Below are 17,401 nucleotides of genomic sequence, written 5' to 3' on the forward strand. Positions count from 1 at the left end.
ATCTGTGCACTTCCTTGTAAAATCCAGTTTCATTTTATTTTTTTTTTATTTTGTAAAAATTTATGGGGTACCAGTGTAATTTTGTTACATTCATAGATTGTGTAGTAAAGTCACGGTTTTTAGGGTCTCCAGCACCCAAATAGCATACATTGTACTCATTAAGTAATTTCTTGTAATAATAATTTCTCACCATCCACTCCTCTTCTGCTCCCTTACTCTTTTGAGTCTCCATCGTCTATTATTCCACACTGTATGCCTACTCAGAAGTGAGAGTACGTGGTATTTGTCTTTCTGTGACTGACCTATTTCAGTTCAGACAATGGTCTCCAGTTCCATTCATGTTGTTGCGGAAGACACGATTTCATTCTTTTATGACTGCACAGTATTCTATTTTGTATATATGCCACATTTTCTTTGATCATCCGTTGGTGGACACTTAGGTTGATTCCATATCTTTGCTATTGTGAATACTGCTATGATAAACATACAGTTGCAGGTATCTTTTTGATGTAATGATTTCTTTTCCTCTGGGTTGATACCCAGGAGTGGAATTGCTGGATTAAATGGTAGTTCTATAAGTCCAGTTTTAGCAAGAAGCCTGCTAAGTCAATTTAGCAAAAATCCTGCCCCATCCTCCATATATGACCATCCTTGTTACCTGATCAGATTTCTCATCCTCCCCATGCCCCAGGCCTGCCTTCATCAAGAATTCTGTCAGGCTGGTTTAGCCTGAATCTCCCTTACCCCTGATGTTTCTTGTTAATTTCCCATCTACCCTGACGATGCCTTGATGTTTCCTCTGAGTTAATTTCCTATCCGTTGATTCCCCACTCTGTCCTTGGCTGTAAATTTCCATTTGCCCATGCTGTATTCAGAATTGAGTCCAGTTCTATACTGGGATCTCTTTTCTCCTGTTGCAATAGTTCATGAGTAAAATATATTTTTACTGTGGGGCATGGTGGTGCGCACTGATAGTACCAGCTACTTGGGAGGCTGAAGCGGGAAGGATCACTTGAACTTAGGAGTTCAAGACGAGCCTTGGGAACACAGTGGCAGCCTATTTTTAAGCAATTTTAAAATGTATATATTTTACTGCTTTGATTGCTGTCCAGCTTTGCTTTTCTTTGACAGCCAGTCTGTCCAGCCCTCCCCTGGGAGAGGTGAGGAGCACACACAGGCACTGGCCACTCCATCAAAGGCTTACACTTCAGGGCTCCCTACCTCTCATATTTTTGTAGCTGCTTAAGAGATCAAAATCAGCCGGTCCCCTGGATAGCCCAGAGGAGCATTTGTCAATGGCATGCCATCATTCCGGGTGACGGGTCTTTTCTTCCTATTTTCTCATCAGGCCTTGTAAAAAGGGTCCAGTCAGCTGCATTCTCATTTCAAAGATCAGAAAAAGAAACTGCATTCCAGACACTCTCCCTTTAATTCTCTTAGAAATTTGTAAGACAAGCCTACAGGTGGAATAAATAGTAATGGCAACTTGATACCCAGTGTCTGGGGCAAACATCCTGGCTCCAACTTGTGATTCAGACCATGACCCATTTGAGAACAACAGGACCTATCTCCTGGAAGGATGCAATGAGGCAGTGTGTACAGGCATAAGGAGTGTCAGGCACTGTTATTATTGCACACTTATTCCTAACCAGCTCTGAAGGTGCGTGTGTGTAAACGTCTATGTGTGTGAATGTGTGTTGTGGGTCCTTCTGAGGCCTTAATCAGTTCATGCCATGGGGAGAGAAAAAAGAGATTTGCTTTCCAACTACCCTGCTCCAAGGACTGTCTGCAGCCCAGCTGAGAAGTTTAGAGATTGGGGTCCGTCTGTCCTTCATTCTGGGTCCTAGTGGCTGGGTCCCAGGAGAAATGATGGTTCTGGGGCAGTGCTGGAGTTGAGCTCCCTTTTCCTCAGGAGGCTGGTACCTCTGCCTGGGAAAGCGGCCTGACTTGAGGGATTTTCTTGGTGATGCTTTGTTTGCCCAGAGAGAACTGCCCTCACAATGTGTCAGCACATTTTCTGACTCTCAGCCATGCTTTCAGGAAGTTGTTATCTATAAATGTAAGATAGCCTGTGCTTTATAAAGCTCATCATTCAATTTCCAGACAGCTGCAGTCCAGAAGTCCTCGGATTGAATCAGTCTTCTTGGTTTGACTTCCACTCATCACTGGCCTTTTTCAGTCCTGGGGGAGCCAGGATGAAGAGTTCTACATGACAGCCTTTTAAGGGTTTGAAGGTAGCAATTAGACTTTCCTCCAGGACTCCAGGCTCAACTCCAACAGCCTTCTTGGCATCTCTGCTGGGATGTCTAACAGACGTCTCAAACTCACTGTGCCTAAACTGGGATCCTAGTCTTCCTCCCCAGACCTCTCAGCCCTTGGACTAAGACTCTTCTCTTTCATTCTCACCCAACCTCATATCCACCAGGAGAGCAGTCTGGCTCCTTCTTCAAAGGATCTCATCTCTTCTCATCCCTCCATTTTCCCACCCTGCTCTGAGCCACACACACATCTTGCCTGCATTATTGCAATTACCTTCTATACCATTCAGGGTTCTCCAGAGAAACAGAACCAGTGGGATATATATAGAAATGTAAGTGGATATTTATTATGGGAATTGGCTCACACAATTTTGGAGGCCGAGAAGCCCCACCATCTGCCATCTGCAAGCTGGAGAATCAGGAAAGCTGGTGGTGTAATTCAGTCCAAGGCTGGAGGCTTAAGACATGGAGGAGGGGGGCCCCTAGTGTAAGTCCTGGAGTCTGAAGGCCTGTGAACCAGGACTTCCAAGGTCCTAGGGCAGGAGAAGATGGATGTCCCAGACCAAGAAGAATGAGAAAAAAATTGTCCCTTCCTCCATGTTTTTCTTGTAGCTGGGCCCTCAGTGGCTTGGACAATGCCCACCCACATTGGTGAAGATGATCTTCTTTACCTACTCCACCAGTTCCAGTGCTAATCTCTTCCAGAAACACCCTCACAGCCACACCCAGAAATAATGAGCCTCCCTTAGTTCAGTCAAATTAACACATAAAATTAACAATCACACACCTTAACAGGTCTATTCTTCACAGAGTCGCTGGCTTTGAAGATGTGGGGCGGACCCCTCACTTCCCTGTGATAGCTCCCCTCTCCCAGATGAAGCCAAAGCCCTTTCAGTGCCTGCAATGTCCTCCCGACTCTTCTCCCCCTGCCTCCCTTGGCTCCTGCCCTGCTGGTCCTAGACCTGCTGGTCTTTCCTAACATGCCAGGTGCTGGTCAGGGCATTATTTCTGGTTAAGGCCTTTACTCTCCCTGTGCCTGGGTCCTGTCCCCAGATCTCTGCCACAGTCCTGCTCCCTCTGTCACCCCCTTTCCCAGTGCCTCAGTGAGGCATGCCCCACTGCCCTGGGTCCTCCCCTGCCCGTTCCTAGCACTTTCCATGTCCCTTAACCTGCCATCCTTTCCCCTTTGTCCCCAGAGCACCTCTCACCATCTAATGTACCAAGTACCTTATTCATTTGTGGTGTGTGCTGTCTTGCTCATCTCATTACAAAGTAAGTTCCCTGGGAGCAGGGATCTTGGTTTGATTTACTGGTGTAGCCCAAGGGCCTAGGGCCCTGGCCAGCACACAGCGGGTACGATGTGTGTTGAGTGAATGTGTGAATACAGACCCCTCCCTTTCCCATTCCTTCCACCCTTCTGTGGATGGTGAGGTTTCTGGGGTCTTCTCCCCAGATGCACTGTTGTGGGCCAAGAGCTCTCTACACAGGTGGCCCAGAAGAGAAGTCGAGCCCAGGCCCAGACACATGGAGACAGGGGCACACTTGTGATCATCTCTCACAGTGCAGTGCGGTGTATCTGAGAAGAGGGAACTCTGCTGACTCTGTGAGGATGTTTGGAGCACCCACTCCAAAAGGGGAAGGGGGCTCCTGCCCCTCTAACCAGGACGTTACATTTTCTTTGGCTCATCCAAATAATTTTTCATTGACTGCTAGCCGTTTCCAGTTCCTCCCAGCTTAGTCTTATCTGTATCCTCATCCAAACCACTGATACAAATGTCCAACCAGAAAGCCCCGGGGATGCTGCGGCAGAAGCCCCTCATGCTGCCCATCTCCATCCATCCGTCAGGGGAGGCTGTGGGGAGGGGAGCTAAGGTTCTGTGTGGCCAGAACTCTGGCCCCTCCACCCTCACAGCAAGCCCTGATGTGGGCATCATCACCCTCACTTCATAGGTAAGGAAAATCAACTTTCAGGGGAAACAGAAGAGTTTACAGTCTTCATTTACAGGTGTGAAAAAAAAGTTGTTTGAAAGAAAAAATTGTTTTCTACCTGAGCATCAAAAATAGTCCAAAGGTGGGAGGAAGAAAATCTTACTACAAACATTTTTGGCTGGAAAAAACAAACAAACAAACAAACAAAACACCAAGAAGAAGCCTAGCTACCACAGTAAGACCCTATCTCTAAAAAAAACCTAAAAAATTAGCCGGGCATGGTGGTGTGCACCTGTGATCCTAGCTCACGTGGGAGGCTGAGATGGGAGGATCACTTGAACCCAGGAGGTCAAACTACAGTGAGTTGAGATCAGCCACTGTGCTGGTTTCGAGACCCTGTCTCAAAAGAACAAAACAAAACAAACCAAATCCAAGAAGGTTTGGATGAAAGCAGCTCTTTCTACAGGCTGCTGGCTGGGCCAAGCTTTTGAGGCCCTTTAGTCTCCACTCTCTAAAGCTCTTCCCAGCGTGCTCCCTGAGACCCGGCCCCTGGAATCCCTGAGGCCACTCCCACTTTTCTCCCGAGGCCCCTCCCCCTCAACTTCCTGAAGCCCCTCCTCTTTGGTTCCCTGACTCCCAACCCACTCAAGGTGTCCTCCCATCTCTAAGGGTGGTCAGAGAGGTGCAGTGCCCCCACCTCACTCTCCAGGGAGCCCTGCTGCCTGTACCCTGTCCCAAGTGAAATGTTCTAGAATTCTGCCCAGCATCAATATCACATGGACTGGGCTGTAATTTGCGACGTCTGCTTTTTCTTCTCCTTTTATCTAAATTAGGAAAAGGTTCTTCTGTTTCCAGACTGGAGTATGGTCCCGCTTCTTCTCTATGCTTTAGCTGTTTGTATAATGCTTTGTGCTGCAAAGTGCTTTCGTGGGCCCTGTTTAATGGATTCATCATTGCAGCCTTATGCGGTAAACACTATCATCTCCATCTTATAGATGACAGCACTAAGGTTCAGAGAAATCAAATAACTCCACCAAGGTCAGGCAAGTCCTAAGTGGCCAGACTAAGATCTGGACCTAGGTCTGCTCTTGCTGAGGGCAATGTTCTTTCCCCAGTGCCAAATGTCATGTGTGTTTTGGAGGAGAGCCCTCCTCAGGGAACCTTCTTAGGGGTCTCCCCCTGCACACTGGCTTTAGCTCTCTCACAGCCTCTTTCACAAGCTCTGGTTAAACAATAATTCTCCGTGATAAAGAAAGTAAAGAGGGGGAGAAGAGGAGGAGGGAGAAGTTGGGTTTCTGTCATTTGCTGAGCACTTACTATGTGCCTAGAACAGAAAAAGGTATTTTCCTTTTCTTTTCCTTTTTCCTTTAAAGATTGAACACAATCTGGCAAAGTATAATTATCCTATTAACCAACTAAGAACCAGGGCAGTGAGCTGGTCTGAGGCCATAGCTATGTAGTGCCATATTTGATATTCAATGTCTGTCTCATTCCAAAGTCTAAATACCACGAAAGAGGAGATAAGCGACATATGTCTTCTTTCCAATCTTTATAACTCAAGTTCTTAGGGATTCCTTCAAATATTTAAAAGCTTTCATGAAAATTATTTAAAAGAACGAAGAAATAATATTTAGAGTTCCTACTTGCTAAAATGAAATTCACTGAGATGAAAAGACATCCGCAGTTACAAGTTGACTGCACTAATTTTCAAGTCAGATAAAGAACCTTTCAATTAACCTCTCTTAAATAGTCACAATTATCAGCAACAAAGCAGAATTATTGATAATTGTTATAACAGATGTCATATTTAATTTCAGATCTCAGAAGAATGGTATTTTTGGGGTGTGTGAAAAATACCTTTCTACCCACTAACTGTGCTGAGATGCCAGGGTTTCAGCAATTATGAGCCATGTTTAGGCTGCCTCGCGGGGTGGTGGGCAGCTGGTGGCAAGAGAAATTGCACTGTCTTCTTGGCTGAGATCCCAAAAGTGTATGTGTATATATATATATATATATATATATATATATATATATATATATTTTTTTTTTTTTTTTTTTTTTTGGAGACAGAGTCTCACTTTGTCACCCAGGCCAGAGTGCAGTGGTGTAATCTCGGCTCACTGCAACCTCTGACTCCCAGGTTCAAGCGATTCTCCTGCTTCAGCCTCCCAAGTAGCTGGGACTACAGGTGCCCATCACCATGCGTGTCTAATTTTTGTATTTTTAGTAGAGACGGGGTTTCACCATATTGGCCAGCCTGGTCTCGAGCTCCTGACCTCAGGTGATCCGTCCACCTCAGCCTCCAAAAGTGCTGGTATTACAGGCGTGAGCCACTGCACCTCGCCTAAAAAGTATATGATTCTGAACATGTTTGCTGCTTCTGCCACATATCTCCAGGCAATTAATAGATTGACCTAGAAGATCCGTAGGTTCCTTTCTACCCTGTGTTTCTGAGACTAACTATCCCTTGTTCAAAATCCTTGCGGCCAGTTGTGCTGTGGAATTTAGATATATCAATTACATTGTAGATAAAAAAACAACCCCAGAGGGCTCTGGGGAAGCACGCTGTGGTGAGTCTTAGTATTTCTGCAGCAAACATGTAAACTTTTACAATAAGTGGGATAAAGAAAAGCTTTTAGTCCCACTTCCATTTAGGTTGGATTTTACTCCCAATGGAGTTCTGGAAGGTCAGGTTTTGTGGAAAAATGAGTGTCACAAACTTATCAGGAGGACTCAGTTCTCAGAACTTTTTGTATTTCAGAGCTTGCAGATAAGAGACTTTAACCCTGCAAGAACATTTCTTTGGAAGCCCTACTGGTGGTATCATCTAGAATTTATTGAATGCCCTGTTCATAATGAGAAATGCAATGCATTGAAAATGCTGTTTCTGTAGGAAAATAAAATCCACTTCATGGAGGTCTATTTTGACATGGCTGTTTCTAGGATCACGGAGTGGCTAACAGGGAGGACAATAAGAATTACTTGAAATCATGACTGTGTAATCTTCAAGACATGGGACAATGGAGCCCAGTCAGGCTCCTGGCTGAGTACTTACAATGTCAGGGGGTAAACTGAGTCCAAGCCAAGAGAGTTTTCAACAATAACAGCTGAAGGAAAAATGTTTTCTGGTTAGTTATCCAGGAAGTTGGGCAGAGAAAAACATATTTCTTAGTAATGCTGGAAAATAGATTTTTTTCTTTACTAACATTGGATGAATTTAGTTTTGTGGTATGTTTCTTCCTTAAAGTTCCTTGGTCAGTAGCTTTCATTGAATGTCCAACAGCAAATCAAACCAAAGCAGCCCTTGCTTACGGTGTGCCTCTTCTGCCAACCCCACCGCCACCCCTGAATGGCATCACCAATCTGTGCGCCAAGGCTCCCTGGGCACTGCAGAGAACTCACAGGGACGCCACAGTATAGTTTAAATTTTTGAGGGAAACAGTGATACTTGACATCTGTTGGACATCAACTAACTTTAGATTATGCTACATTCCTTTCAATTATGGCATATTTTGCAAAGCTGGGCATGTGGCAGTTGTTGAGATAAAAATCAAGCACCACCCCAAAATTAGTATGGAACAGGAAATGAGGGTGGCCACGTCCCATTGATTCCAAGATTTGGGAAGTTGTGCAATGCCCAATGGGTACACACGATTCATTAGTAAGTCATTGTGGGGAGGAAATAAAAATATTTTCCTCCAAAATACTGAGAATTGTTAAGTTAAAGGCACTGAAAATGCAGGGGAACACTCGGCCTCAGCCTCTGTTTGCTTGATGGCAGCACAAAAATCCTGCCTTATTGGAGATGGCATTTGCTTATTGGCCCAGAGAAGGCAGCAGCAGACACCAGAGGAATCTGGGAACAGATTTTACTCTGTTCCCACACACTTTCCTGCTTTTTAATAGACTGGAACTGCTCTTTTCTTTGTCTTGTCACTACATGGTATTTATGGCTCTTTGTTAAAATACTATTTAATCAAGATCCCTAAGCCACTGCCTTGAGAGAGAAATACTTTTGAACTGAGTCCTCTCCTGTATGATGGGTACAGCAAGCATTCATACATTTTTGCATGTTTTTTGTTAATCTGACTTTTGTTTTCAGGAGAGTGTCTCCACTAAGAACCTAAAAAGGGAAAGAAAATAAATTACGCTTTCTCCCCTGCAGTGGCTATTTAAGAAGGAAATAAAAGCATTATTTTTTCCTTCAATTTCTGTGTATTAAATTGTGACATAAATATGTGACACAAGGATGAGATATTCATTAAGTTATTCGGATGTAACGATTCAATACATGAAACCTTTAGGGATTTCTTTTGGCCTGTGGGCACCGTGAAAAATTCACTGAGACGTTGAGGGTGCCCTGAACGGAGAAAGTTTGGGAACCTCTGGTATAATTCCCTGAGTGCTCAGATGAAGAAGCTTGGAGTCACCCATGATTCCTCTTTTTCATCCTCCCAAACCCACGAATCAATCCGTAAGTCCTCTTGCACCACCTCCCACAAAATGTCCTGAATCCGTTCTTCCTGCTACCACCACTGCCATCACCATCGTCAAATCCAGCATTTTCTATGGCAGTCTTTCTGCTTTGGCTCTTGCTTTCCAATAATCCATTCTTCAGAGGTGGCTTTTAAAAACATAAAATAGACCACATTGCTCCACTGCTTCTATGTTGCTCCCAGCCATCCTCCAGTGGCTTCCACTTCCCTTTGAAAGCCCTCCTGGGCCGACCCAAGTTGGCCCCACATCCTCTCCTGCCCTTCTGGAAATCCTCCTTCCCTTGCTGCAGCCTGTTCTCACCTCAGGATGCTTCCACTTGCCCTTCCCACTGTCTGAAAAGTTCTTCATCCATTTGAAGATCTTCCAACACCTGGCTCATTCTCAAGTTTCTCCTCCAATGTCATCTCTCCAGCAAGGCTTTCTAAAACTGCCACCCCTGACCCTCACCTCCAATCACTACATGTATTATCATGTTGTTTTAGTTTCCTCATAATATTTGTTACTCCTGAACATACCATGTTCTTTGGTCTGTAGATTTGAGAGTAGGAACTTTGCTTTCTTGTTCACCATTGTATTCCCACCAGCTAGAATAGTGCCTGGCATTTGATAGGAGCTCGACAAATAATTGACAAAATTAGTAACTGAGTGATTATCTCATATGGTTGTGTGTTTGGATTGTTCACTGATAGCTCCTGAGAAGATCCAGAAGTGAATTGGGAGAAAGGGAGCCAGTGAGTTCATTTTGACTGACATTTTTATGTAATCATACATCACTTAATGATGGGGATACGCTCTGAGAAACTGCATCATTAGGCAATTTTGCCATTGTGTTGAAACCACCTTTGCAAAAATTATAACAGTGAGAAAATCATGGGAGTGAAGGAGATCTGATCTGGCCAACCTTCGTCTTGCCTTTGGCCTTCAAGATGCTCATAAAAATTCCTGGGCTTAGGCCAACTAACTTTAGGAGACATTTAATTTATAGTTGAAATGATAATAGCCCTTCCCCAAACTCAACCACCTTTGTAAAGCTAATGAGAGACCACCAGGCCAGGAGGAGAGAGGAGGCTGAATTCTGCTAAGGCGTAGACATAAATGATTGCCAGCCATTATTCTGGAGGTCACAAGATATGCAACTTCAATCACTCCTGCAGACAACATCACTATTGTAGAACCTAAGATTGGCCTTTTGAGATGTCTTTTTCAGGTTTTTTTCATGTCTGACACCTATGGCTCCACCTGGACCCGCCAACTACTCCTGTGGCCCACTCAAAAGAATTAAGTAACTCAACAAGCAGGAGAACCATTTCTTATACCCCTATGATTGCACCCCTAACCAATCAGCAGCAATAACCCCTTGCCTAGCCACCCCCAACCCTTTTCCCCAAACTATCTTTGAAAATCCCTAACTTCCAAATGCTCAGGGAGATTGATTTGAGTAATAACTCCATCTCCTGCATGGTGTGGCCAGCCTCACGTCAATTAGACTCTTTCTTACTGCAGTGCCATGGTCTCTGTGAATTGATTTTGTTTGTGCAGCAGTCAGGAAGAACCTGTCAGGTGGTTACAATGTGAACATCACAGCGTGTGCTCACACAAACCTACATGGTGCAGTCTATTGCTATATGGTGTAGCCTATTGCTTCTATGCTACAAGCTGGACAGCATGTTACTGTACTGAATGCTGTAGGCAATTGTAACAATGGTAAGAATTTGTGCATCTAAACATATCTAAACATAGAAAAGGAAGAGTGAAAATATGGTATTATAATCTTATGGGACTACTGTTGTATACACGGTCTGTCAAGTGAAATGTTATGTGGCAGGACTGTGTGTGTGTGTGTGTGTGTGTGTATATATATATTTATATATAATATACATTTATATGCAAAAGATATTTTACAGACTAGGTCTAATCAAGGACAGGGGTTTCCTATATGCTTGGGAAGAGACAACAAATAGTTACTTTATATGAACCCCATTTTTCTTGGCAATACTGATGTTTTACCATAAGTAATCATGTTGAGTTGGATAGTTAATGAAGCAATTTCATCATATCATTTGTTACTCTTCACAACAGGCAAGTGTCCCCTACCCCTAACTTTTCTTTCCTTTTCTTTAACTAATTAAGAAACTGAGGTAATACTTATAAAGCAACTTTACTATAGCTATAGCATCCAACCGAATGCTAGAATCCCATTGTCCAGCCCGATCAAGCCAATGCATTTTCCTTAACAATAAATCCAGGAAGAGTGCACAGTAAAGCGGCAGTAGGAACAGGTGTCGAATTATTTGACATCTCTGGCAAACAGCAGTGGGGATTAAACAGAGCTTTCTTTAATAAGATTAATTCTCAAATACCGAGTGATTTGGCATATCCCCAAAGATACAAGGCATTTGTATCTATATAAGATTAAAGAAGCTTTCACACAAAGCAATTTTGTTTTTCAACATCAAAGAGATGCTTCAGTGGCATTGCAAGAGGGAAGCACAGTGCAACTAATGCAAAGAGTGCAAAACCTTTATAGAAAAGACAGTTTCCTCAGTCAGGAATTGCATCTAGAGCTTTCACTACCCATGACAAACAGGGCATTGTTCTTAGAGTCATAGGATTAGGGGAAAGGGGAGGCCAGGGGTTAGGAATCAGCTTGACAAACACCCCACACAGGTGGGGTGACCCCAGACACAGGTGGCTCCCCAGTGATGACCTTGGCTTTCCAAGGATGGGAGCTCAGTGCCTCGTGAGACTGACTATTGGGCAGATCTAATAAATAATAAATAATGACCATGACACTGTAATAATAAGGATAACAAAAATCACAGCCACCATTTCCATGTGCCAGGCACTATACTTAGCATGAATCGAATGGCACACACTTCTGCTGCTAAATCTTCTCTTGGGTTTCCAGCAAGCCTTCTGAGGTCTGTTCCCTGAAGCTACATAGTCCAACTTGCTTCACAGTGAGCTGCAAATATTTGAAGGTAGCTTTTATGTTCTTTATCTGTTTTTTCTTCTGTGCTAAACTTCTACTTATTTTTTGAACCAGATACAGGTATTTACATGGATTGATGTTACATTTCATCTTGCAGGTTTTGCCTTACCCCTCTAGGCTGCCCAAATATTGGTGAGTCCTGATATTATCATTTAGTGTATTCACCAGACCTTATCCAATGTGCTTCTGAAAATGATAAGCTTCCAAGTCTCCCTCCTCTCCTTTTTCTCTTTCTTCTTTCCCTCTTTCCTTCCATAAACATTTATTGAGGACTTCTTTAATGTCCCAGACACTGTGTCAGGCACTGGGGCCACAAGGTTGCATAAGGCATACCTATAGATAGTCTTCAAGAAAGCTTCTTGCTTAAGCAGAAAGACAGGAAAATAAACTAAAATACAACATAGTATGATTATGTAATGAATGAGAAAAGAGGAGAGTTTTAACAGGAGTTGGAAAAGAAATCATCTGTAAGGGGAGATGATGGGGAGCTAGCAGATGCCAGCACTACCTCTGGCCCCTGGGGTATGGGGCCCATGAGAGAATTGGGCAGTCCCCACTTAATTAAAAGCTAGCCAGAGGATGTTCCAGGGGAGCTTATTTATGGAAGGAGCCTATGCTGTTAATGCCCCATGTGACAGCCTTTTCTCCTCCCTCCTACCTGCCTAGCCAGCAGGGCTCTTCCTCCCGCTGCTGACCTCCCTAAAGAATCAAGGGCAGCTGCCTTGGCTAGAGGGTCTGTGTTTTCACATGACAGACTACAGAAGCAGCAAGCATTCTAGATTTCAATGGGGGATCAGGGAGGCATAGAATCAGAGAGGAAGGGCATCTTTTATGACCTGAAATTGCCCCACTTAGTCATTGGGAAGGCTTGTAAGACCAGGAGCAAAGGGACTTTCGGGTTTTGACTGCTCAGGGATTTCTTCCAAGCATAATTTCCCAGGTCACGTAGAGGCCATCCTCAATGTGAAGACTGGACTCTTCAGACACCCAGGCAAAAGAGCTCATTTGCACATACCACAGAGTCCAGGATGGTGTCAGGAGTTTGCAAGTTTCCAGGAGTTAGGAATTTTGCAGGATAGAGAATGGTTGACCTTGGTAGACATGTTATCCTATGTTGGACATATGTACCTATGTCCTTGTTCAAAGAGCGGGGTACCCTTGTGGCAGTGAGCCCCTCCTAATGAAAAAAATATCCACAGCCAAAAGGCTACAGAGTTCTGGGAACTGGTGGGTTGTGGACCAGCTTCCTAATAGTACCTGGGAACTGTACCTGAATCTCTCCTTGGTGCCTCCATAAACCTCGGAGACCCTGTAGAAAAGCTGGTTGTACAGACTGGTTTGATTAGGGCTGCAAGCTCCAGCTTTTGTCAGGGGTTCAGAAAATTAGGCCTGGGTGAGGAATATTGACAGTGTTTATTTTGTTGATTGTGTCCATGAACATGATCAGGTGTAGCTCCCAGGGCACTCAGCCGATGGTCACGGCTAAGTGCAGAATATAGTCATGCTCACACACATATAGTCATGCTCCAAAAGCATTACTTGAAGCGGTGAACTAACATAAAGCTGAAGTTTATCACAACCACCAGTCAAAACTGGACTGGGGATCTTCTATGGATATAGAGCTGAGAGGCAGGCTTGGGACTTGGGGTGTGCTGCCTAACCAACCCCTTTCTTCTAGAAAGCATCAGTCTGAGAGGGCACAGATGCCTGGTTCCACATTTGGAGTTTGGAGGGATTAAATATGAAACACAGAATAAGCTGTGTTATTAAACTCACACTTGCTTTTTTTAGTGGGATAGCAAGAACATAGGCAAATGTTTCTATACAAAGACTTTTTTAGTTATACAACACAAGTGAAGAGGCCGGTAAACCACTAAGGTCTAGGAGGAGACCAATCGGTGTTGGGCTGGGGGACTCATGGATACAGATTCTTGGCTGAGGTCTGGAAGGGCTGAGGAATTTGCTGCCAGGGTCTGTCTTAGCAGGATACATCAGCCCCATCTCCAACAGGAGAAATGGGAGGACAGGGCTTCACCCTGTCTGCTGGTGCAAGAGAAGCCTTGAGCTTCGGTAGACAGTTGTATGTGTCCCTTCCAACCAGAGACCTCAATATATTAACGGGCCCTCTTTTTTCTCTGCAGGATCCAGTACATATTTCTGACGGCTCCTCCAGAGTGGGATTTTATCTGGAGTCCCACCCTTTCTTTTGAATTTCCTTATCACTTTATAGCAAGTTTATTCACTCATTAAAACCCAACCCAAAGTCACCTCGTCTGGGAAGACACACAAGCTCTTCCAGAAAGAGTCTCTCTTTTCCTGACTGCTCTCTCACTGCCTTTCTCCTATTGCACTTCTCCCTGGTTTGTGTGTCTGCCTCACCCATGAGACTGTAGCCCGGCACCATGTCAGGCACGTAGCAGGATTTCAACAGAAGGATGTGGATCGAATGGATGATCCAACGGAAGGAGAGGCACACAGGAGGCTGACCACAAATGAAATTTCTGGTTTGGACTTTTCAGCCCCCATCACTTCACTTTCCCTCCTGCTATGGGGGAAACTCAAGAGATGAGTTATGGGTGGGCTAAGACAGCAAGCTGGGAGCTGGTGAAGAAGATGGAGTGGGTGACCCTTGGCTTTCACTGGGCTTCTCCCAGCCGATGCTTGGAAACCCTAGATGGATCAAGGTGAGAAGCCTCATTTCTGTAAAGGACTCCAAGGATTCCATGGTGCTCTGCAAACGTAATGTGTTCTTGTTGCTGTTATCATCTACCATAGCTGTTTATAACCTTGTTCATTAACTTGTGTGATTCTTGGCTGAAGTCTGCTGCTCTCCCCCATGAGGGGAACAACTGATGACCTACTTCTGTGAATTCCATGGTGCCAGGCCTGGGCTGATCTGGATCTACATTAAAACATGCCAGGGGGCAAACATGAAATCAAAATGTTCTGGCAACCCCCTTAGACCAATCAGTGCAGTGTTTAGCACTATAGACACCCAGTGCACTCATTACAACATCATTTCCTAGGACCTTTTTTATAAATAGAATTTCGAATATATTCAGGTTTGAACTTTCAAGGAGGGTGACTTTGAGCCATCACTTGGAACAGAACACTTGTAAAAACACTGACCTTGGTCACTGCTCACATCTCCCTGGAAGGCCAGTTAGGACTGCTGTTTACCCCCCACATTAGAGAGGTAGGGGAAGGAAACAGGGGAAGCTGAGTGACTTGCCTTTGGGCCACAGGAGTCGCTTCGTGGGCAAGGCTGGAGTTTTCGATCTGGGGAATTTGTTCCTGGTTGGGGGACTGGTCTATATTCAGGCTGTCAAGGAAGAAGTCATAGTATCCACACTCGCACTTCCCCCCAGAGCTAGGGGCTCTCTGGAGAGAAAGTGACCCCTTATCCTTTATTTGTAGAAATATCATGACCCAACAACGGCCTTCACAATGGGAAGAAGCTGGGTCGAAGCAGATGTCAGAAAGGCCAAGGGAATAGAGAGGCCGAGAAAGGGCGAGAGAAACAAAGAAGTCTATGTACTTGGCGCTTCTTTGTTGCCCAGATCCTCCACTCTGCTCCCTGCTTTCTCCCTCAGAGAAGGAGGGGGAAGAGGAGGAGGAGAGTGGGTGGAGAGGGAGGCGGAGGAGAAAGAGGAGGAGGAGCGCATTGCTAACGTGCGCAGCCCTTACCCAAGCCAGGCTCCCGCGCGTGCATCCACCGCGATCTCAGGCCCCGGCGTTTGTGGCAGCTCTCGGTTACCATGGGAACCGCACTCCGCAGCCTCCCTGGGCCCCATCTAATCTGCGTGTGTGCGTGGCGGAGAATTCTAAGCCTCTGCACCTGCCCTTGCCTTCCCTTTCCCAGCCTCTCTCCTGGCGGGGAACTGTTTGGACCAGTCGTCAGCGGCGGCCAGAAAGTTTTCCTGCTGTCTGCCTGAAGGTCGCCTGTGTCAGGGGGAAGTTGCAGCCGTGGGGATTGTGTTTCCCTGAATGGAGACAGTACACGTCAGACCTCCAGGCTGGGACTTTCTAGAATCCTGGGGTCCAGTGCTAAGCTTGTGGTGGCTGCGTAGATGAAGAGATGGGACATGTGGCTCTCAAGGCCCTGAATGGGCTCACTGGAGCTGGTCCCCAGGAAAGGAACTGCCCTGAAAGGGATAGAGAGACCCACAAGGGGTTGATCTGGGGCCAAGGGTTGGAGAAAGCTGAGTTCCCATGCCCTGGCCACTGTGAGTGGACTTGCAGGAGTGGCAGAATGGTCAGGTGGGGTGGGAGGCTGGGTTGCAAACCACTTCTATGTAGGCATTCCTGGTCAGTTGTCACAGAGGTTTCAGAAGGACCTCAGTCTTTGAAGTGCTTGCAATTTGCCCTTCCTTTTCTTTCCTTTTCTTTTTCTTCTCATTATACTTTAAGTTCTGGGATACATGTGCAGAACGTGCAGGTTTGTTACATAGGTATACACGTGCCATGGTGTTTTGCTGTACCCATCAGCTCGTCATCTACATTACGTATTTCTCCTAATGTAATCTCTCCCCTTGCCCCCCCGCCCCCGATAGGCCCCAGTGTGTGATGTTCCCCTCCCTGTGCCCATATGATCTCATTGTTCAACTCCCACTTATGAGTGAGAACATGTGGTGTTTGGTTCTCTGTTCCTGTGTTAGTTTGCTGAGAATGATGGTTTCCAGCTTCATCCATGTCCCTGCAAAGGACATGAACTCATTCTTTTTTATGGCTGCATAGTATTCCGTGGTGTATATGTGCCACATTTTCTTTATCCAGTCTATCATTGATGGGCATTTGGGTTGGTTCAAGTGTTTGCTGTTGTGGATAGTGCTGCAATAAACATACGTGTGCATGCGTCTTTACAGCAGCATGATTTATAATCCTTTGAGTATATGCGCAGTAATGGGATTGCTGGGTCAAATGGTATTTCTGGTTCTAGATCCTTTAGGAATTGCCACACCGTCTTCCACAATGGTTGAACTAACTTACACTCTCACCAACAGTGTAAAAGCATTCCTATTGCTCCACATCCTCTCCAACATCCATTGATTCCTGACTTTTTAATGATTGCCATTCTAACTGGCATGAGATGGTATCTCATTGTGGTTTTGATTTGCATTTCTCTAAAGAGCAGTGATGATGAGTTTTTTTTTATACGTTTCTTGGCCGCATAAATGTCTTCTTTTGAAAAGTATCTGTTCATATCCTTCACCCACTTTTTGATGGGGTTGTTTGTTTCTTGTAAATTTGTTTAAGTTCCTTGTAGATTCTGGATATTAGCCCTTGTCGGATGGATAGATTGCAAAAATTTTCTGCCATTCTGTATGTTGCCTATTCACTCTGATGACAGTTTCTTTTGCTGTGCAGAAGCTCTTTAGTTTAATTAGATCCCATTTGTCAATTTTCGCTTTTGTTGCCATTGCTTTTGGTGGTGTAGCCATGGAGTCTTTGCCTATGCCTATGTCCTGAATGGTATTGCCTAGGTTTTCTTCTAGGGTTTTTATGGTTTAGGTCTTACTTTAAATCTTTAATCCATCTTGAGTCAATTTTGTATAAGGTGTAAGGAAGGAGTCCAGTTTCAGTTTTCTGCATATGGCTAGCTAGTTTTCCCAAAACCATTTATTAAATAGGGAATCCTTTCCTCATTGCTTGTTTTTGTCAGGTTTGTCAGAGATCAGATGGTTGTAGATACGTGGTGTTATTTCTGAGGCCTCTGTTCTGTTGC

At 44.8% G+C, this 17,401-nt stretch overlaps 1 protein-coding gene across 3 annotated transcripts in view, besides 1 other annotated feature; it reads right to left on the minus strand.

Annotated features, from left to right (window-relative positions):
- The window catches only part of ERICH6B (glutamate rich 6B), a 74,446-nt gene extending 59,028 nt beyond the window's left edge, over positions 1-15,418 (minus strand). For 2 of the 3 annotated variants that reach the window (XM_017020418.2, XM_011534965.3), the window contains exon 1: positions 15,364-15,417. The gene's annotated coding sequence lies outside the window, so the exon portion shown is untranslated. Of the gene's footprint in view, positions 1-7,242; positions 7,295-15,363 lie in introns of all 3 variants that reach the window. The other variant, NM_182542.3, reaches the window with a different exon arrangement.
- Positions 15,041-15,542: an enhancer, noted in NCBI's record as "H3K4me1 hESC enhancer chr13:46189497-46189998 (GRCh37/hg19 assembly coordinates)". NCBI's record gives its function as "activates a minimal SCP1, AML or CMV promoter by ChIP-STARR-seq in primed H9 embryonic stem cells {active_cell/tissue: H9 hESC(primed)}" and the evidence as "EXISTENCE:reporter gene assay evidence [ECO:0000049][PMID:30033119]".

Source organism: Homo sapiens, chromosome 13, assembly GCF_000001405.40.
Source record: "Homo sapiens chromosome 13, GRCh38.p14 Primary Assembly".
Classification (NCBI taxonomy): domain Eukaryota; kingdom Metazoa; phylum Chordata; class Mammalia; order Primates; family Hominidae; genus Homo; species Homo sapiens.